Source organism: Homo sapiens, chromosome 16 (genome assembly GCF_000001405.40).
Source record: "Homo sapiens chromosome 16, GRCh38.p14 Primary Assembly".
NCBI lineage: Eukaryota > Metazoa > Chordata > Mammalia > Primates > Hominidae > Homo > Homo sapiens.
Genome location: NC_000016.10, coordinates 76,507,379 through 76,530,779, shown reverse-complemented (window position 1 = coordinate 76,530,779; position 23,401 = coordinate 76,507,379). Strand labels below are relative to the sequence as shown.

Here is a 23,401-nt window from a genome sequence, read left to right as displayed (position 1 = left end):
CATTAAGCAAAGTCCTGGAAAGGAGGGGAGGAACAGGACTATTCTTCCTTGTGTTCAAAGAACTATCGTGGTTCAAAGAGGCAGCTGTTGCAAGTGACAGTGTCATGGGAAGAAAATTCAGTCACTTTTCCCTGAACCAAAGTCAGGGGTGAAAACGTGCCCCAGTCGTAGTAGCAGCAGAAAGAACGAGTCTATTTAGACTTCGCACACACTGAAGCCAGAGCGAGTCTCTAGTTTGACCATGCTAAGGCCTATTTTAGAGAAATCAGCTGTTGTTCACTGATGAATAATCACATTCTCTTGTCCCCAGACATCCCATCTGAATTCTGACCTCAGTCAATGATCGCTAAGATTTACCTACTGGATATAGAAAAGTACACTCGGGGCGTCTTAGGCTAATCATGAAAAAGATGCCTCAAGGATGGGAGAAGTGCGTAATTAAGATAAACAATTTGATTATATTAAAGAGAAATGCGACCTCTATTGTACTGAATTCAAACCTAAGGCTGCTTGATATTCTCTTCCCATAACTACATTTTAGCATATAAAAAACCGAAATTAAAAAAATAAAAATCTGGAATATATTATAATTAATAACTTGTGTCCATTCAAAGACACTATTAACAATATGAAAGCACAATCAACTCACAGAGAGGTCGAAGATCTTATAATAAATTTATATGAAAAGGACTCACCTAAAATATATAAAGAATTCTTATGAAGTTTTTTTTAAAAAAAATAAGACAATCTCATAGAAAACGGGCAACAGATCTGAACAGCCACTTTATAAAGGAAGCTATCCAATGGTGAATAGAGATATGGCACTATTTCCTGTGCTTAGCCTATGCATATGCCGTGACCTAGAAATTTCACTCCCAGGTGAAATCACAGAAATACACACATGTTTACACACACACACACACACACACACACACAGCTGAGATTCATCACTACAGTCTCAGAGCTTCAATATGTTTAGAGTTCAACATCAACCTTTGCATGTGGTTTTTAGAAATTGTTCACTCTAAAAAGTCGATAAATATTTATAGATTCCATGCAATTCAAATGCAAAGCAAGTTACTTCTGACTATGTCAGGGGTCCTTACTTCTCCTCCAGGTGAGAGTCACAAAGTACTGAAATAAATTTAGCCCCGTTTGAAAACCTGTCAGTAAAAGAATTGAGACTGGAAACAAAAATTGCGGAGCTGGTTGAATAAAAATCAATTCAAGGCTAATTTAAGAAGCTTCTACGAAAATGCTGAGTTTACAAACCAAAATAGAAAATGACCACTGTCACATTTCAGCTTTAAAAATGATTGATTCTTTTCTCTCCATCATTTCTGTGGCTGGACAATGTTTGTGAGTCTACGATAACAGCAGTGACTGGATGCTAAGTCCTCAGTGTTAGCAAGTCAAGGGCACGTGTTCAATACACTGATTAGCATTAGGTCCTAAAACATTTTTTAGAAGACAATAAGAGGCAGTTCTGAATAGGACTCTTTAAGATAGGCATAAATCACACACACACACACAAAGGACAAAGTGAAAGAACATGAAAAGGATAGTAAAGACCCAATGTCACAACTAAGAACAAAAATGGAGAAAGACAGGCTACAAAGAGAAGGCGAATCCATTTTATTATAAAAAGCAATGTGATGTGATGGCTGGAATTATCTGGAGGAGAGGAGGAGATGTTCATTGCGTTGCTGCTCATTGTGTCTAATCTATCACATTACGCTGATGTTAATTCTTATCACTTAGTCATACAAGGGTTTTGTGCATTATTTTATTCTTCCTTTACTTTGCATGACATCCTACAGTTTAGATTAGTTGAAGTTAATTGTTCTAATATTTGAAACGTCAGGGATTGCTCAAAAGCCTTCTGATCTGTATTGCTCGGGTGATGTAGGCTAATGCTAGCTGCATCTCTGAAACTCCATTTATCATTTCCTTATTCCTATTTCAATTGTCATATATAACTGCTGCCCAACTGGATCACATTTTTTAAAAGTGCTTTCTATTTATTTTTACTGATTTTTCTCAGAAAGTAAAGCATTAATCTTTCCTCACAGTTTCACTCTGAGATGTGAACACACTTTATGACCGGCTTTTAGCAGAGAGGGTGAAGAAGCAATGGAGTAAATACACTGGATTCTTTCACGTGGTCTCATTGCAACAGCCACTTCTGAGAGATTACCAACAATGCTAATCTGCAGGTGAGGCGTGGTGGCTCACACCTGTAATCCCAGCATTTTGGGAGGCCAAGGCGGGTGGATCTTTTGAACCCAGGAGTTCAAGACCAGCCTGGGCACATAGGGAGACTGCGTCTCTACAAAAAATACAAAAAATAGCCTGGTGTGGTGGCATGTGCCTGTAGTCTCAGCTACTCTGGAGGCTGAGGCAGGAGGATCACCTGAGCCTGGGAGGCGTAGGTTGCAGTGAGCCAAGATTGCACCACACCACTGTACTCCAGTCTGGGTGACAGAGAGAGAGATCCATCTCAAATTTTTAAAAAATGTTAATCTCAAAAAACTTAATGCTAATAAATATTACCAACATAGACCCAGTTAGTAAGATGGAGAATATAATTTAAATCCAAATTATATATCCAAATATCCACACATTTTATTTGCAGGTAAAGTGTTAAGCACAGTATCTCAAATTAATATATTTCCATGTTATTGAAATTTCTAACATTTCATATTTATATTTTAAAATAACTTTGTTATTTGAAATATTCCACAATAGGGTTCTACCAAATTTGTTTACCAAGAAGAAGGTACATTTTTAACAAAACTACTTAATGCTGGAAAAATAACATCATCTATCTTAGAATGAGTAACACTAACAGTCTTTCAGTCTTGTCCTATATTATAAAAACAGTGTTTCCATGTAATTTATTCATTTTTAAGATAAATTTTATTGTGTATATTTGAGGTTTACAACATGATGTTACAGGAAACACAGAGGTAGTAAAAAGGTTACTGTAATAAAGCAAATGAACAAATCTATAATCTGACATAGTTACTTTTTTGTGACAAATCTACTATATTTAACAAAAATCTCAAATACCATACAATTTTATTAACTATAGTCCTCCTGTTGTATGTTTAATCTCTAAACTTGTTTAAACATTATTATTATTACCATCAGTCTCTGTATTTAAAACATTCTTATTAGAAGAATAAAGTCATGCTGAAAACTGTACTTACTTTTCAGAATCACGTTTACCTCATTCATTTGCCCCATATCCAGATACAAAGGATAGTCGATATGCACACCGAAAATGCTGATTAGCTATAATTATCTTTAAGATGGACAGATGAACCACAAATTAAATTCTTGAACTTGCAAGTAAGGGGAATTAAATTACCCTTTAAAACTGTAACCAGAAAATCAATTATATTGGATTGAAGTAGAGATTACCAGTCACCCACGGAGTCACCAGCTCTGAGAATAGAGCAAGACTTAACCCTAACATATTTCAGGGTATTAATATGCGAGGGAATGGGAGAAGGGTCCTTCTACATATGACATGTGCTGGAACAAAATCTATAAACAAAGAAGCCCAATTTACTGCTGAGAAGGTGATTACAGAGCAGGTGTGTCTCATTAAAGGAGAGGAAGAAGATTAAATATTTTCTCTGGCCTGTGAAGAAGGACCAGAGACTCTTTGCAGCCTGGCAAGCTTATGGCTTGTGGTATATAATTTGGATTGTGGAGCCAGGAAACAGCTTTAATCACTGCTATAAATTAAGATGAAGGGAGAAAACAAGAAAAGCTAACTCCAAGTGAAATTCAAAGCTAGGCTGGTGCGGTGCCTCACACCTGTAATCCCAGCACTTTGGGAGGCTGAGGGGGGTGGAGCCCTTGAGCCCAGGAGTTTGAGACCAGCCTAGGCAACATATCAAAACCCTGTTTCTATAAAAAATACAAAAATTAGCCAAGCGTGGTGGCATGTACCTGTGGTGCCAGCTACTTGGGAGGCTGAGGTGGGAGAATCCCTTGAGCCCAGGAGATCAAGGATGCAGTTAGCAGTGAGCACACCTCTGCACTCCAGTTTGAGTGACATAGTGAGACTCTGTCTCAAAAATAAATAAACAAAAACAAAAACTGGCAAATAATGTGAGAAAACCAAAGAACTACAAAGAAGCATTTCATCCCCAAGCATATTATCATAGATAAGTGGTAAAACACTAACATCAATGACCAATTCATTAGCAAGTTGGGTGCATCTAAATTTCAACATGTCTACTTTAGCCTGCAGCACCATCATCTCTCAGAGGGACCACTGTGATAGCCTGCCTGCCCTCCATTTCCTCCATCCATACCCTTCTGGGTAGTAAGAGAGAGCTTGAAAAATGAAAATTATGTCACTCCTCTGACTCCTTAGAGTAAAATCCATAGTCCTCGCCATGGCCCTACAAGGTCCGATATATACCTCAATCTTGTTTCCCATCATACTTTCCCTAAATCTGATTCTTTCCAGCCACATTGTTTTTTTCCTTGTTCCTTGAATCCCTAAAGCTTATTCCCACCACTTTGAGCCATGGCCTGGAATTCTCTTCCTTCAGATGTTCACAGGGTTTTCTCTTCTGTTTCATCTGGCCTCTGCTCAAATTAGGAGGACTCTGCTAATGTCGCTAGAGAGGACTCCAGAGAAGACTGCACTGACCACCCTACTTGACATAGAAGTCCCCAACACAAATCACTGCCTGATTCCATGCTACCCTTTTTACTTTATGGTATTTATCACTACCTGAAAATGTATATATATATGAGCACACACATGCATGCATACATGTACGGATACATACATATGATGATATATAACCATATATGAACTATATGTAAATAAACTATATATTTTATATATGTATAAACTATATACAAAAACTATAGTTACATAGTTTATATATAGTTATATATGTAATTATATATAGTTATATATAAACTATATAGTTTAGCTTAACTATAAACTAGTTTAACTAGTTTAACTATATAGCTTATACTGTTTATATATAAGCTATATTATATACAATATATAGTTTATATATATTGTATATAATAGTTTATATATATTAGTTTATAATATGTTTATATATAAATTATATAACTATATATAATTTTATAGTTTATATGTAGTTATAAACTACATATAAACTATAAAACTATATATAGTTATATAAAATTTTTTATATATACAAATAGTTCTTTTTTATTGGCTGTCTCTTGTCTCTTCCACTGAAATATATAACTATGTAACTATAAACTATAAAAACTATATATAGTTATATATATATTTTTTCTCTATATTATATACATTTTTTCTCTCTCTATATAGATTTTTTTCTAGATAGATGGATAGACAGATTTTTTTAATTGCTTGTCTCTTCTCTTCCACTGAAATATACTCTCAGGAAGACACAGAACTCTTTGGTCCTAGTAGGTGTTTTATTAAATTAGCTCTAATTACTACTGATTTTTTAAATTAGTTTTTCACTCACCATACTCTAATTCAGTATAAACTTTTCAATTATAATGTGTCTTTCACTGAGTCTGCCTACAGGGAAAAAAAAAATATCTCCAGTTACAATTTTTCTTAAATTCTGATTTGTGTGATAGTAATGTTGTAAATTGATAAATGAATATTTTGTCTTGCAAGCACTGTTTTATCAGCTTGATTGAAGCCCTTTCCTAACAGACTAGTTCACTCTGGTGGAGGTGAAGATAAACCCAAGCCCCTCATGTGGTGTTTTGACAGCCAGTAATTTTCTCTACCCAAGACTACAAGTGTTTTTTTTTTCTTTTTTATGAGCCCTTCCCTTAGTATCACCACACTAAATCATGTCAGCTTGCTCACAGTTATCTGTGAGCAGGAAGGAGGAAAATGCATAAACAGATTTTTATTAACAGTATATGTCACCTTTTTTCACAAATCTTTATGTTGCCTCATCTTTTTTATTTTCAGTGACTTGACTTAAATATAATCAACAGTTATTTTTTATACAACATTGGAATAACACCCATCCTTACATTTCAACACATACAGTGAGGTCAAAGGCCTAACCAATTGCCTCCATGAAGACAAAATCTTTCAGATCCTTATTAAAATTGTATCACATGATCGATGTTAAAAGACTCAAGTCTGTTTTAAAGCAGTTTTCTGATGACATACTAGTGCTTCATTTCTGTCTGAAATCAAGTTAAGGCCAAGATTCCTACACGGCACAACACACAGTCACTCCATCTCATGAAGCTGAAATTCATACCAAGAATGAAAGGTCATCCACAGGCAAACTGCAGCATATTTCACTGAAAAATTTGAGGACTATTTCAGCCTCTCAATTTCCAAGAATAGTAAGGCTATTTCCAAGCTACTGACAGATTTTAAATTGCCATACCTTTTGTTGTGGCCATCTCTCATTTTTTTGTAATTCAAGAAATAGCTTTGTCAATTTCCTGACTGAGCTTCTAGCGTGTTATTAAAAGTTATATATTTCTTCTCATACATTCTTTATTATTTTCATACCCTTAAGTAAGTCAATCAAGTGGTCACAAGATCATGATTAGATTGTCTATTATAGTGCCTTACTCATAGAAGCTATTCATTAAATATTTGAGTAAAGGAAATAATAAATTATCAAAACAGTAATTACACAAATATATTGGAAATCCCAAAAATGTCTTCCTCAAATATGTTAAAAATATGCTTCATCCTTTCCAGTGAGAGAGGGTTAATAAGATCAGACTCTTAAGAAATAAAAGGTGTAATGGGGATCTGATCAAATTTCTTCAAAAGTGTAACTCTTGAGAATTCTTGAAAAATAATTTCTTTGTTGTTGTTGTTGAGACAGGGGCTCCCTCTGTCACCCAGGATGGAGTGCAGTAGCGTGATCATAGTTCACCACAGCCTCCAATTACTGGGTTCAACCATCCTCCCACCTCAGCTTCTTGAACGCTGGGATTACAGGCGAGTGCCACCATGCCTGCCTAATTTTTTTAATTTTTTACTTTTTGTAGAGATGGATCTTGCTGTGTTTCCCAGGCTGGTCTCAAACTCCTGGCCCCAAGCAATCTTCCTACCTTGGTCTCCAAAAGTGCTAGGACTACATCATGCCTGGCCTTGAAGTACAATTTCTAATAACTTATCATTTATTCTGCTTTATAGTGTTTTATGTCTTCATTTATGTTAAACTATATGAGAAGTGATCAAGTAAGAGATAATTCATGGTCCATAACTTCTACAAACGAATTAGCAAAGATTCAAAGTAAAACAAACACATCCAGAAGGATTCCACTATCAAACCTATAAATGCCACATGAATGGATTTAGGAAATAAAGGAACAACATTCTGATATAAATATTAAGAAGGTGACCAGAAAATATCAGAAAAAAAAATGGGCAAAATGAGGGAAAATAGCAGAGGAACTGGTGAAACTGTCAAACATGAATTCTATACACACTGGGTATCTGTTTTGTTTTCTTTTCTTTTTGCTATTGGCCTGTTTTTGATGTGATGGTTGGTGGGGCGGGGGGGCCGGGGGAGTGTTCAATGTTTGGCATCGGCTGGATGATTTCCTCATCAAAGAAGGCTTCCTCAACAATTCTGAGAACAGAGATAAACATTCCTGGTATCATAATAAAACAATAAGATAATAAATAAATAAGCTGAAACCAATCATGTAACCTGTAATATTAAGAAAGCAGGTAAGGCTGGGTGCAGTGGCTCACACCTGTCTTCCTAGTACTCTGGGAGGCTGAGGCAGGTGGATCACCTGAGGTCAGGAGTTCAAGACCAGCCTGGCCAACATGGCAAAACCCCATTTCTACTAAAAATACAAACAAATTAGCCAGGCGTAGTGGTAGGTACCTGTAATCCCAGCTACTCAGGAGGCTGAGGTAGGAGAATTGCTAGAACCCTGGGGGCGGAGGTTGCAGTGAGCCGAGATCGCACTATTGCACTCCAGCCTGGGTGACAGAGCGAGACTCTGTCAAGAAAGAAAAGAAAAGAAAAGAAAAGAAAAGAAAAGAAAAGAAAAGAAAAGAAAAGAAAAGAAAAGAAAAGAAAAGAAAAGAAAAGAAAAGAAAGGAGAGAAAGAGAGAAAGAAGGAAAGAGAGAAAGAGAGAAAAGAAAGAAAGAAGGAAGGAAGGAAGGAAGGAAGGAAATAAAGAAAAGAAAGAGAGAGAGAGAAAGAAAGGAGGGCGGCAGGCAGGCAGGCAGGCAGGCAAATAGGAATTAGTTAAACACAAATCTGAATCTCATTTATGAGATGAATTTCTGTAGGCAAGTCAACCCTGGAAGCTCAGCTATCTCATCTGTAAAATACGGATAACACCCATTTCACAGGCTGGTTATGCAGAAGAAATGAAGCATTTGGACACAGTTTGTGAATCCATGGTGATTTGTTATTATTGCTTGTTGTTATTATCCTTGTTTCTATAGTTGGTATTATTTTATCTTGGGCCATTTCTGAACACATATCATACAATAAAATGATTGCTTAAAAAGAGAACTTACCCACGAAGAGCTGACTGTTGAGCTGTAACAGGACATGCCCATCAGCGGGGGCGGGCTGTGTCTTTGGTGTCAGCTGATCCACTTGAAGGGAGGCCTCCTTCATGTTCCTTTCAACCCTCACATGGTGCCACTGGTTGTCGTTGAAGTGGGTGGGTGACTGCACTGAGATTTCAAAAGGCCCATTCCCCACATCAAATGAAAAAGTCACTACTGTCGGAGCTGGAAATATTACACATAAAGATTGTTCTAGTGAGTTCCTATGGCGAAGTGCCGAGTCTCCAATATACTTAGGAACACACTACAGCGTAACAATCGCTGAACAGAAAGATAACGAACATAGATGGTTTCAATGCTATTGTTTGAAACTCATGACACTGACACAGAGCTAGGTCTTCTGATGTGAAATGAGACAGTTAAATACATTCATGTTTTTGAAAAAAAAATGGTATTCTAAGATAGTCCTCCTCAGAGCTAATTTTTCCTATCGATAAAAAGTAAAGCTATTTATCCAAGGCAAGGAAACTAAATAGCAACTGGCATTGTACGTAAAAATAACTGTTACAGTAACTCAAAGTTTACATAATTTTTAAGGCATGCTATACACATTTGATATTAAGATAAGAGCAGCTTAGAAGTATATCAAAATGAGTGGTTGATTAAGTAATTTGTAATTAACTAAAAAATTGTGTTTTAGTTTTAATTAACTGAAATTAAAACTGCATTTAAATTGGTACAAGAAACTACCAGTTATTTCCCCAAATTATCACATGTTAAGTATCAAATTATTTTCTTACAAACAGGATAAGTTAATATTATTGAGTTTTTCAAAGGGGCGCAATGAAAAGAATCAGATGATAAAGTAGACACATGAGTAGTTTAAAAATTAGTTAAAAGATTTACTACTAAATGATAGAATCTCATACACTTCTCTGGAAAAGGAGACTTACAGCGAAGCTCTATCCGTATAAAATCAGCAATCCCCAAGTTCTCTAAAAATACCCCAGATGAAGCTGTTGTCTTAAAAAAGAAAGATACATCCGCGCTAAGTTCTCCGTGGAAGGTAGGAAAATGAAGATATGAAGCCTCGGTATCAAAGGAAGCTGAATTCCAAAATGATCCTGTTTTGTGAAAAAAAAAAAGAAAAAAAAATTCAGAAAGAAAACAAATTCATGAAATAAAATGAATGACAATTACATGTTCTATTTTTAGCACTTTTGCTATTTAAAATGTTATTTATACAAATCTGCTCTTTTTTTCTGTCAACTATGTAGTATACAAGATATGAGTATATCATAAGAGATTTTACAGGAATTGAAATCCTGGATTTTTTCCAATAGAGAGTAAGAATGATCATTACAGAAATGGTCTAAATGTTATATTTTATACGGAACAAATATCCTCAGCCTCAATAGTATATCCTCCACCAAAGTGATATTATACGATCTGCCAAACATTGATAAATAGGCAATCTTTTATAACTTCAAAATTAAAACACTTACCTGCTTTAAACAAAAACCCAAGAGAAGCTCACAGTATTTTTTGTTCTAACACTTCTAACACACACACTTCACAGAGTTACATAAACTGTTTTCTTTAATGGGCCTTGTGATTTTCTAAACTGAGACCGGCATTCTAAATAGTCTTGTCTAATTACAAACCAACATGCAGCTTACTCTGTCCAAGCTGACATTCTCATGAAAATGCTCTTTTTATTCAAAATTATCTCTTACTTTGCCAATAAGAATGAAGTAGATGACAGCAAATTAAAAGTGTTCTCAAAATGTTTACAAATGTTCAAAATGGGCAGAAAATGTTGAAAAGGTTGGGATATAAATTAAGAGATCTGAAAAAAATGTAGACTATAAAGTTAATTATAATTGCTGCCCAAATACCACTTATCTTTAATTTCTCACTCCTTTTTTCATATCTACAACTTTTCTTTCGAAAAAATATTATGAACCATATATAGCAAAAACTATGGAAAATCAAATATAAATGCAACAGCATGAGCTGACAGGAGTGAAATCCGACTGGATACAGGAGGTTGATGAGGAGTAAAATCAGAGAAACAAACTCTGTATTGTCTGCTGCCACTAGCAAGTTCTCTGCACATCAAATACGAATATACATCTTTAGTTTTAAGCAACTGCCTCTACACACATTACCTACATGGATAAAATTCTATCTAAATTACCTTCCTGGAAGAAAGATGTGTTGATCCTCTGATGTTGGAAAACAGCAATTTCAAAACAACAGTTTGTTATGTTAGCAGAGAACAGATACCAAGATACAGAGTTAAAAATCACAAACTTGACTTTGCTTATACGTGTTTCTTAAATTTTAATTTACTTTGTATAAATTCTAGACCGAATAATGCTTCTATTTTTGTTTGTTTTTCTGGTGGATCTGATTCAAAAGTCAATTCTCAGCTTGTGTGTGGACAATTTTAGAGCTGAATTTATTCAACTAATAATCTACTTTGAAGTTTTTCCTCCCAGAGTCAAATGAAACCATATATTATCAGAGTCACATCAAGCCTATTCCTTTTGTCCCTTTTACAGCTATTCCTGTACTAGACCTTTGGATCTCTAGGACAAAATAAATGCAAGAAAATGTAAAATATCAAGTCAGGGATAACAACACATTTGCATTCTTAGAAGTTCTTAGCTGATCTGTTTTCAGAAGGAATTAGATGCCTTTTTGTTTAAATGTTATACATTAACATAAAAATAAGCTTCACATTATGGAATGTTATTAAATCTTATTTTGTCTGATTAGAAAGAGGAACATTCATAATTACTTAAAGGTTTAAATTAGGTAATATTATGACATAACATTTATTTTTTTCATATTATATCATAACTAACTCAATAAAGCATCATATAGAAGGCTTCAAGGAAGTGCTTGAACCAGATGAACAATTCTTTGAATTGCTGCTATCTGTACATGAATGTCTTTAAAGCAATGAAACCAATTTATTACTTTAGGCATATTCAGCACTCTCATATACATAATAATGTCTATTTCATTTAGTTAGGAGACCTTATTTTATACGTTCACAAAAGGTAGAAAATGAGGTAAGGAAGTTTTATTGGGTTAAGAAATTGCTGCTAATTCAAAACAATTATAAAGAAAGCAAAGGCCAATATTTCCATGATCAAATAATGTTAATGGCATGTGGTATCCCAGCCCTTTACCCCCTGTGCTAAGAGACACCCACCAGAATCTGGGCCACCTCAGAGAAAGGAAGGGCAAAGAGAGGGAGGAAACAGAGCTCAGCAGGCAGGCAGCAGCAGGAGCTGCAGGCTTTTGAAGACAGCATTCTATGGATTAGGTGGTTTAAAATTCCCTAATCTCATGGAGGGGGAGAGGAGAATGATAGTAACCAGAGGCAGGAAATGGCGGAGGGGGAAAAGAGGAAGAGAGATTGGGCAATGAATACAAAATTCCAGTTAGATAGAAGGAATAAGCTTCATGTTCAATAGCAGACTGGGGTGACTACAGTTAAGAACATTGTCGTTTGTATTTCAAAATAGCTAGGAGAAAGGACTCAAATGTTCCCAACTCCCAGAAATGATAAATGCTCAAGGTGATGGATATCCTAAGTCCCCTGACTGGATCATTACACATTCTATGCATGTAATTCTATGCATGCACATTCTATGCATGTAACAAAATATCACACGTACCCCATAAATATGCATAAGTATTATGTATCTAGAAAAAAATTTAAATAACAATCATAAAAAAGTAAAAATAAAATTCTCTAAACTACATCATTGTCAATTCAATTCAATATAGGGTACTAGAGATTTTAGAATAATTTTTTAGGCCAGGCACGGTGGCTCATGCCTGTAATCCCAGCACTTTTGGGGGCTGAGGTGGGCAGATCACTTGAGGTCAGGAGTTCGAGACCAGTCTGAACAACATGGTGAAACCCTGTCTCTACTAAAAATGCAAAAATTAGCCAGGCATTGTGGCAGATGCCTGTAACCCCCACTACTTAGGAGGCTGAGGCAGGAGAATCACTTGAGCCTGGGAGGCTGAGGTTGCAGTCAGCCCAGATTATGCATCTGCATTCCAGCCTGGATGACAGAATGAGACTCTGCATCAAAAAATAATAAATAAATAAAATAATAATTTTCTAGAAACCCTACCTTTTATCTTACCAGAATAAAGGAAATTATATAAAAGAATAAATCCATATAGTCATTCACGTAAAAGAGGAAGATGTACTAAGTATTGAATTTCATATAGAAAGTTAAAAATGAAGTCAATTTAGGAAAATTAACTTAGTACTATGCTAGGACTATAAGTACTTTTAAAAATAATTTATTTTGCTAAACATTTATAGAATTCCTTTTTTAAAAAAAAACAGGCTTATGGAGACAAAGTAGATTTGTGGTTTCCCAGGGTTAGGGAGATGGAGCGATCGAGGGAGAGCAGCGGCTCAGAGGGGTAAGGTTTCTTCTCAGGGTAATGACCATGTTCTAAAATTGGTGTGGTCATTGTTACACAATGTAGATATACTAAAAGCCATTCAATAGCACACTTTATATTACTGAATTGTGCAATATATGAATTTGATATCAATAAAGCTGTTTATAAAGGAACAGTATTTAAAAAACACATTGTTTTTCAAGGTAATACATTGTACTTTTAAAATCAAAATGCATATAACATGCTAACACTACCTTTCTTAAAAGCAAAATAAAATGAAATTTAGAAATGCCGAAGCAAGGAATCATTCACTATTCAAATGAGTCTTTCTGAATGCTTAATAATCATAAAGAAATAAGCCAGAAATACGGATTTAATTAAAATGTTTATTTCCAAATGTTTGTAGATTCTTACGCAGGTGTAAGAAATAACACAGAAAGATTCCATGCACCCTTTATCTAGTTTCCCCCATGATCATACCTTACAAAACAATAGCAGGATGTCAAAACCAGGATAGTGACACTGACGCTAAGAGGCAGAACATTTCTATTGCCACAGTATTCTTCATCCTTCCCGCGCACAGCTAAAACCGCTTTCCTCCCTCCTTACCCCTTCTTTAACCTCCTGGCACAACTAATTAGTTCCTCATTTCTATAATTTTGTCATTTCAAGAATGCTCTCAAATAAAAGCATAAAATATGCAGTCTTTTGAGACTGGCTTACTTTTAAAAAAAATCAGAATTACTCATTTTTGTTTTTGACAGATTCTTGCTCTCACCCAGGATGGAAAGCAATGGTGCAATATTGGCCACTGCAACCTCCACCTCCCGGGTTGAAGCGATTCTCCTGCCTCAGCCTCCTGAGTAGCTGGGATTACAGGTGCACACCACTATGCCTGGCTAATTTTTGTGTTTTTAGTAGAGACAGGGTTTCACCATGTTGGCCAGGCTGGTCTCGAACTCCTGACCTCAGGTGATCCACCCACCTTGGCCTCCCAAAGTGCTGGGATTACAGGCGTGAGCCACCACTTCTGGCCCAGAATTACTCTTTGAAGATTTACTCATATTGTTTTCTGTATCAATAGTTCATCTCTTTCTACTGCTGAGTAGTATTCCATGGTATGGATATATTAAAATTTATTTAACCATCTACCTGCAGAAGGACACCTACGTAGCTTTCAGCTATTACCAATAAAGCTTTTGTCAACATCTGTGTACAAATATTTTGTGAACGTAAGTTGCCAGTTCCCTGGGGAAAATGCCCAAGAGTACAATCACTGGATTGTATGAGAGTTGCAAACCATTGTGGAAGACAGTGTGGTGATTCCTCAAGGATCTAGAACCAGAAATACCATTTGACCCAGCAATGCCATTACTGGGCATACACCCAAAGAATTATAAATCATTTGCACATGTATGTTTATTGCAGCACTATTTACAATGGCAAAGACTTGGAACCCACCCAAATGCCCATCAATGATAGACTGGGTGAAGAAAATGTGGCGCATCTACACCACAGAATACTATGCAGCCTTGAAAAAGAATGAGTTAATGTCCTTTGCAGGGACGTGGATGAATCTGGAAACCATTAGTCTCAGCACACTAACACAGAAACAGAAAACCAAACACCACATGTTATCACTTGTAAGTGGGAGTTAAATAATGAGAATACATGGACACAGAGAGGGGAACATCACACAATGGGGCCTGTTGGGGGGTGGGGGGCAAGGGGAGGGACAGCATTAAGACAAATACCTAATGGATGCGGGGCTTAAAACCTAGATGACGGGTTGATAGGTGCAGCCAACGCCTGTGGCACATACACACCTATGTGACAAATCTGCACATTCTGCACATGTATCCCAGAACTTAAAGTAAAATAGAAAATTAACAAAAAGAAACTACTAAACGGTTTTCTAGTGTGGTTTTGTTATTTGACATTCCTACCAGCAGTGTATGAGTGATCCAATTTCTCAATATACTGACCAGTATTTTGTGTTGGCACTATTTTTTTTTTAAATCTTAGTCCTTTTGAGAGGTGTAAAGTGGTGCCTCATTGAGGATGTAATATGCATTTGCCTAGCAGTTGATGATGCTGGGTATCATTTCATGTGCTTTCTTGCCATCTGTATACCTTCTTTGGTTGAACCTCCTTCCACGTCTTTTGCCCATTGTGTTAGTCTGCCCAGGCTGCCATAACAAAATCTCACAGGTCAGGTGGCTTAAAAAACACATTTATTTCTCACAGTGCTGGAGGCTAAAAGTCAAAGATCAAGGTGCTGGTAGGATTGGTTTCTTGTGAGACCTCTCTTCCTGGCTTGCAGATGACTGCCTTCATCCTGTGACCTTACATGGTCTTTCCTCTGAGTCAGCACAGAGAGTGGGGTCTCTGGTGTCTCTTTCTTATAAGGACACTGGTCCTATTGAATTAGGGCACCACCCTTACCACCTCATTTACCTTAATGATCTCCTTAAAGGCCCTATCTTCAAATATAGTCACATTGGGGTTAGGGCTTCAACATAAATTTTGGGAAAACAATTTAGTACGTAACACCCATATTTTAATTGTGTTTTTAACTGTCAACTTTTGAGGATTCTTCATATATTCTATATACTAGTCCTTTCTCAGATAGGTGGTTTGCAACTGTTTTTTGACCAGTCTGTAGCCTGACTTTTCTTCCTCTTCATGCAAGCTTTCACAAAGTAAAATTTCATTTTGATAAAGTCTCATTTATCAATTTAGCCTTTTACGGATTGTGCTTTCGATGTCAAGTCTAAAAAATGTTTAGATTTTTAGATTTCCTAGCCCTACAGGAAATTTTATATGCATATAAAATTCCAACAAGCCTTTTCTTAAAAGTAAAAATGCTTTAAATGTTGAAATGCTGATGTGAAGAATATTTTAGTAATCAGTGCATCTTCTAAACACATGAATTATTTTTAAATAAGCTGAAAAATATAGATTTTAACAGAAATAAAATTCTAAGATTAAATTATATGTTATATTATCAGAACACAATAACCTATGTATTGGTTTCATAATTCACTGGTTCCTCTTTTTAGCACATCTATTATTGTTTTCAACTATTTATTAACCTCAATAGGAATCAATATAAGCAAAATAAAAATGAAGAAAATAAAATCTGGCTGGAGATAATTATAGCTTGTGGTTTGCAGAGCAATATAAAAGAGAACAAAGCTGTTCATAGATGTTTCCATAAACACCCCCTAACCACCCCCACACATGCACATACAGTAAGATAGATGTGGCAAATGGAAAGTGAAAATTCCTTTTATGAAGGCAGAGCAGAACTTGTTTTTATAATCAAAAGATCTTACAAACTATCACTGAAGAAGATATTTCTTTTCATTAGTCTTATACTAGTTTTGCACAAAACTGTTTTGATATTAATAGCAAAGAAATAGACTTGTGTATTTAATTATTCAAAGACATACACACATATAATTTTATTTTAGAAGAAACTGGAAGAACAGAATTTTGGAGCAACATCCAATTATTTTTAGTCTGGATGTAAGAGAATATATAAAATAGTAAATGAGATAAGTAACACTTATCTAAGTTTGCCACTGCATCATCCCTCAGTCATTCCTACGAAGGTCAGAGTGACAACAAAGAGGTGTGGAGTTGGGCATCAGACGAGAGAGCCTCCCAAGCGTAACATCCTTATTCTATTTGAAGTAACCTATTCTGAATTAGCAAATGACGATCATTTAATATAAAAGGAGAACATATTATAAATTCAAGGTAAATCTGGTCAATCCAAGATTGATGTCCTCCATGAACACACATGATCATGCAATAAAATTTGAGTCCAGTTATTTATCAGAGAAGAGGACCAAATTCATTTATTCAAAAAACATGAGATAGAGTGATTCTGATTTCAGCAACACAAAATAATTAAGTGCCCAATCAGAATTTTGAGCTTTTTATTGGCCATTTACTAACAAAAGTGCGATTCCTTTATTTACACGGTTAAAGTCAAAAGTCACTTGATATTCAGATTACTGTCTTTTAAAAAATTATTTTAACTCGGCAATTAACAGTAAGTAGAAGGGTTCTTAATAACTTCCTGCATTTGCACACTTATAGTCTTTACAGCATACACATTACTGTTTTTAAGTAGGCACATCTATACACTGGTCTGTTACAGCCCATTTGTAATCTGGCATGTTGAATATTTTTCCATGTATAGAAAATACATTTAAATATTAATTAAAGTATTAGACTAAAATAATTGAAAATAAAAACTAGTAAATTATTCATAATATACTTATTGCCTGATACCTGCATACAGAACTTAGTTACAAATCCTTATGTGGGACTGTGTATAAACATCGGGTTTTAAAGAACACTACAGGTAAGTACACGTGCTGTAATATGATGCCAAGTGTGCACACTCAATGCTCCTCTGCGATCACACTATATTTCCTTCATGCCTTCACTGTCCCATGCTCTTAGAGGATTACTTCACACTTCCTCTCCCCAATAATACATCTCATTTCTCATTCTTTAACTTTTCTAGTAATCTCTAAGAAAAGAGCAGAAGACAGAAGTGACCTCCTCTAAGCACCCACCACCACACCTGTTCACCTTCCTGCAACATCACCTGTGTTCTCCATTTTCTCCTGTCAGAATGAATTAACCGTCCACAATGCAGGGATTTATTTACTGGATCTCTCTTACTAACACAGACATGCTATTAATTCTCTCATCTCAGAAACCCCACTCTCGTGATCATACTTTCTCCCCCATTTACCATTACATTTTCCCACATTTTTTCCTCCCACTATTCCTTGAATCTATCTGAGGCTTTTATCCCCAAACACTTGACAAAACAAACCATCACCAAGGTCGCTATAACATCCATGTTGCTAAAGCCATTATCAGTTCTCAGTTTTATCTTACTTAAGCTAACAACATTTAACACAGTTGATTGCTCTCTCCTCCTTGAAACACGTTCTTCACTTGGAGTCCAGGATACCCACACTCTTCTTTTCTCATAGGTGATATATTCTCAGTCTTCTTTCTTGCTTCCTCTTCACCTCGTCAATTTATCCATACTTAATTGCCCCAAAGCCCTGTTGTTATTTCTTCATCCAAAATAACTCCTGCTGTTCCATCTTGTGGCTTTAAACATGCTGAAAACTGACAACTCCACATCTCTTCCTGAATGTTTAATGACATCTCAACCTTAATATGTCCTAAAACTGGGCTCTTTATATTTCTCTACAACTCTGACCCCAGCAGCAATCTCCCCCATTTCAATTAATGCCAGTTCTTTCCCTCTAATTGATTAGATCAAACACCTTGGTGTTATTTTTGACTTTTCCTTTTGCAAACTACAACAATTCATCAGGAAATTTTACTGGTTTTCCTTTCAACTCTACCCACACCACAACTCTCATCATTGCACCCATGGCTCAAGCTACCATAATTTCTCAGCTGGGTTGGTGATATGGTCCCCTAAATGGTTTCCTTGCTTTGAGCTTTCCCTATTTAATCTCACTAAAACCTGAGTTAGATCATATCACTCGTCTTCTCAAAAGTCTCTAATGTTCTCCAATTTCATTCAGATTGAAAATGGATTTTCAAAATCTTTCCTGATCTGACCACCAGGTTTCTCTCTGACTTCTACCACTCTCTTTCTTGCCCACTCTGCTCCAAACACTTGGACCATATGGCTGTTCCATGAGTATACCATCTACACCCCATTTCTGTGTGGTTTATCTGGCCTTTCCCTCTGTGTAGAGTACTCTTCCAAAGGTAGACATGTGCCTTGCATTCCTGTTTTCTTCAAATCTTTATTCAAATGCCACCTTCTTCCTGAGCTTTAAATGACCATCCTATTTAAAATTACCCCACTCCTGCCTCAACTTTATTTTCCTCATAGCTCTTACCAGCTTCTACTGTACCACATATTTCAATTGATTATTGTCTCTCTCTCTCTCTCTCTCTCTCCAAGAAAATATAAGCTCCAAGAATACCGATATTTTTATCTATTTTGTTCATTGCTCTTTTGCTCTTTCCCACAAGTGGAAAGAGGGAAGAAAAGTGGAAAAACAGAGACAAGAGAAGAGGAGGAAGAAGAAAAAGAGGAAGAGAAAGAGGGCATACAAAAGTGAAATTGAAAAAGATAAACCCAATAAGATAAAGTAAAATATAAAAGTTAAAATAAAAATGTTATAATAGAGAATTATCAAGCATAGTGGAGCTAACAAAGTTACATTATTTTATTATGTGTTGAAATGGAATTGATCCTCACTTTTTTTAACGGTTTATATGTAGTCTGCCAAATGGAAGAGAACTCTGTCAAATGAAAGAGAAATTAACCAAATCACTAGTCAATATCTTTTTCCAGTTGAAGAGTCTCACTTCTGCAAAGTTATTTATTGCCTACATGCACCTTTGATTATTTAATGCACTCTGGGCAGCTGTGATTTCTCAGACAGCTGTACTAGTCGATGCAGACAAAATGAAGAAACTAACTCCAGTGACTCAAGAATTTTTTGGAACGAGAAACTTACAGCAATCTTTTCTAACTATGAAGGCTTCAGGGTGCTTTGATTAAACATAAAATTTCAATGTAATGAATTACCTGAAAAGAAATACATGTGATAAAATGGGTTGAAAAATTCAAACGCCAAAGAGTTAAAAATACTGCCTTGCTCAGATAGAGAGACTGAGAGCAGAAATTCAGACCACATTTGCAAAAATTTTAACAACTTATAAAATGTGTATATACCTTTTATCACATCACTTCTATTTCCAGAAAAAGTAATACCAAATGAACAACATTCAGGTACATTCTTGTTAAATTAGTGACCTTTAAGGATAATTGTTCCTTCGAGTATTCAGACAGAAAAAGCAAGTCACATACAAGGTGAAAAAAACCAGTATGGCCTCAGAGTCCTTCACAGTACTCAATGGCATAAAATAAAGGAAATCTGTCCATAGATTCCTGAGAGAAAGAAAATTTATCCAGTCTAGTTTACTTCTGAAGTGTTAAGGCAATAGGCAGACACTTTCAAGTCTGAAAGAATTCTGAAAATAAAGCATACAAGAGCCCTGTTGAGAAAATTTTTCAAAAACAAAACCTATATTCATAATGAAATACAGTCAACTAAAAAGACATTTAGAAAAGCAGTAGAAGACGAGACAACTGCATTCCTCAGCACAGACAAGTATGGGATCATATATGCAAACTACTGAAGGTTACACAGCATGCCACATAAAAATTACGCCAGTTCCTAAAGAGGTTAAATGTAGGGAAATTCTACTCCTAGGTACATACCGAAGAGAAATAAAGCCTTTGTCCACAAAAAAAAAAGCATACATGGATGTCCACAGAAGCCTTATCATAATATCCAAAAAGTGGATCCAGCCCAAATGTCCATGAACTGATGAGTGATTAAACAAAATGTGGTATAGCCACAGAATGGAGTATTATTTGGTCATAAAAAAGAATGAAGCGTTGATGTATTCTACAACACTGATGAACCTCCTTGACAATATGATGCTAAGTAAAAGTAGTCAGTCACAAGAGATCACATATCTTGTATTTTTATCTATATGAAATATTCAGAATATGCAAGTCTGTAGAAAAAAAAAAGCAGGTTACTGGTTGCTTAGGGCTGGGATGGGGAGTGCGTGAAATGGACAGTGTCTGGAAAATGGGAGCAGGTCTACTTTGGGGGTGATAAAAATGTCCTCAAAATGATTATGGTGATGGTTGCTCAAATCTGTATAGTACATTAAAATGATTAAATATACTAAAATTGATTGAACTGTACACTTTTAAAAGGGTGAATTATAGGCTGTGAATTATATGTCAATTAAGCTGTTCCCAATAGACAATATAAAGTTAAAGCATCAGAGTTTTAGAATCCTAAGGCAACAAATATTCTCAAGCACATACAAAATCAAAAAAATGCAACCCTCAAGAATCTTTCTAAAGACAAAAAAAAAGGTAAAATATCAACTAACTGACAAAAAGAAATTAATCAAAATAAAAAGCATTGGAGAATAGAACTAGTGGTTAGCCTTTAAAAGTAACAATATACAAATAATAGCATAACTAGCAAAAACTGGGAAGGGGGAGATAAAGAAGGGGAAAGAAGAAATGAGTGCTAGCTTTTCCATTTCTCACAGTAGATAAATGCTGCTTATAATTTAAAAATACATTTAATATAAAATGTAGTGACTCTACAATCTTTTAAAACGCGCATAATCTTTTTTTGTAAGTTTAGCGGGATCACTTACGTTGAATATACTTCGTTAGATATATAAATTTCATGAGCCATCTTGGCTTAAATTTGGTGTTTTCTTTCTCAATTTTAATGAATAAAGTTTTATAAATTCATTTCTCAACCTCTTTTTAAAATTATTTTGTCTAAAGTGGTGATTCTCCACCTAGGGCAATTCTTTACCCAGGGGACATTTGGCAATGTTTGGAGACATTTTTGGTCGTCACATTTGGAGGAAGGATGCTACTGGCATCTCTTGGGTAGGAACCAGGGATACTGCTTAGCTCCAACAATGCACAGGACGGTCCTCAACCACCATGAGGAATTATCCAGCCCACATGTCAAAAGTGGTGAGACTGGGAAGCCCTGCACTAGAGATATCTACCAACATTTGGAATGATATTCAATTGATATTAATCATTATTTCTGAGTTATGTGATTCTTGGTGTCTTTTTTACTTGCTTTTTTGGTATTTCTATATAGCTTTAAAAAGTTATGATTTTGGCCAGGCACGGTGGCTCACGCCTGTAATCCCAGCACTTTGGGAGGCCAAGGCGGGTGGATCACAAGGTCAGGAGATCGAGACCATCCTGGCTAACATGGTGAAACCACGTCTCTACTAAAATTAGAAAAATTAGCCAGGCGTGGTGGTGGTTGCCTGTAGTCCCAGCTACTCGGGAGGCTGAGGCAGGAGAATGGCGTGAACCCAGGAGGCGGAGCTTGCAGTGAGCCGAGATCGTGCCACTGCACTCCAGCCTGGGCGACACAGTGAGACTCCATCTCAAAAAAAAAAAAAAAAAGTTATGATTTTGTATCAAGTCAGTCATTAATATTTAAGACAATTAACTAAAGGTATGCATATGTATAAAATTCCCCCAAAAGGATACCATGGTCCTGACAACTATCAGGGTTCCAAAGTGAAAACCTTTTGAAAGTACTAAAAACAATTTTTGTTCCCTCACATTGATCAAGTTTCTTGCATATAAATTATTGGTTGGTAATAAAAAAGTGAACAAAAAAAAAAAGCAAAATAGACCATAAAATAATCTATTTTCCAAGAAGGGGCAATCATTTCAGTTTAATAAAGGCACTGTATTGAGTGAAAAGTTAAAAAAAATTAATATTAACTAAAATTATATTCTTATTTGAAAGTACTTTCACTATTACAACTTCAGGCATATTGATGAGAAATGGCTTAGATGGAACTAGACATTCTTCTACTATGTGATTTTTATATCAGAATCAATAACTCAATAGAGTCTAAACTCCTTTTAGTAAAAGTATATATTTACTTAATTGCTTATAGAACCAAAAATGTATTCATGTCTCTTACTAATAATTCATAAGCTGTAGGTTTCTTTACATGCATATATTAAATCATTCTCTTTATTTCATGAACTGTTATTCATTGATTATCTTTTGTGCAATAGGTAATACATTAGTTATCAGGAACACAAGAATAAATGAGGAATGTACCCTGCTCTTGAGGGGCTCAAAAATAATTAAAAGCCAGTATGAGAAAGATATCTTTGTAATATGCTAAACATGTTTTGAGAACGCAGAATGACTAGGTCATCTAGAAATCATGGTGGAAGAGTTTTAATCTGAGTGTGAAAGGGTTTGGTAAAAGAATTAGGGAGATTTTGCAGATAAGGGAGAGTGAGTGACAAGGACGTAGAGCCAGATGCCATCGTGGTCCAGGAACTCCCTTTGTGTTGCAAGATTCACTGAAGTAGCACAAAGTCTCTGTAGACTTCTTCTTGCTGTGTGTCAAGAAAGTAGGTTTAACCCTGTGTATGAATGCCTAGGCTTCTACTCTGAAACTCTGTTTCTGGTTCTGAACATACTGCAACTACAGTTAGAACACTTGGGCAGGCCCTATGTCAGCACCATTGGTCCACTTCATACCCAACCTTTGACCTAGAGCTGTGAGTCTTAAACTACCTATATAGAAAAATGTGCTTTTTTTTCCTCTTTTTATTTCAGCCATATAAAATGAGAATCCATCATTTGCAACAATATGGATGGAACTGGAGGTCATTATGTAAAGTGAAATAAGCCAGGTACAGAAAGACAAACATTGCAAGTTTTAATTTATTTGTGAGGTCTAAAAATGAAAACAATTTAACTCATGGAGACAAAGAGTAGAAGGATGATTACCAGAGGCTGGCAAAG

General features: G+C 35.7%; 1 protein-coding gene across 15 annotated transcripts in view; it reads right to left on the bottom strand.

The window, feature by feature from the left end:
- CNTNAP4 (contactin associated protein family member 4) overlaps positions 1 to 23,401 on the bottom strand; it is a 283,357-nt gene that overhangs the window by 29,978 nt on the left and 229,978 nt on the right. For all 15 annotated transcript variants that reach the window (NR_136216.2, NR_136210.2, NR_136213.2 and 12 more), the window contains 2 exons: positions 9,470 to 9,640; positions 8,523 to 8,741 (listed from right to left, as the gene is read on the bottom strand). Coding sequence is in view for 12 of the 15 variants with exons in the window: in NM_001322189.2 (NP_001309118.1) it covers positions 8,523 to 8,741; positions 9,470 to 9,640 (390 nt within the window). In the remaining 3 variants the exon portion in view is untranslated. The remainder of the gene's footprint in view (positions 1 to 8,522; positions 8,742 to 9,469; positions 9,641 to 23,401) is intronic.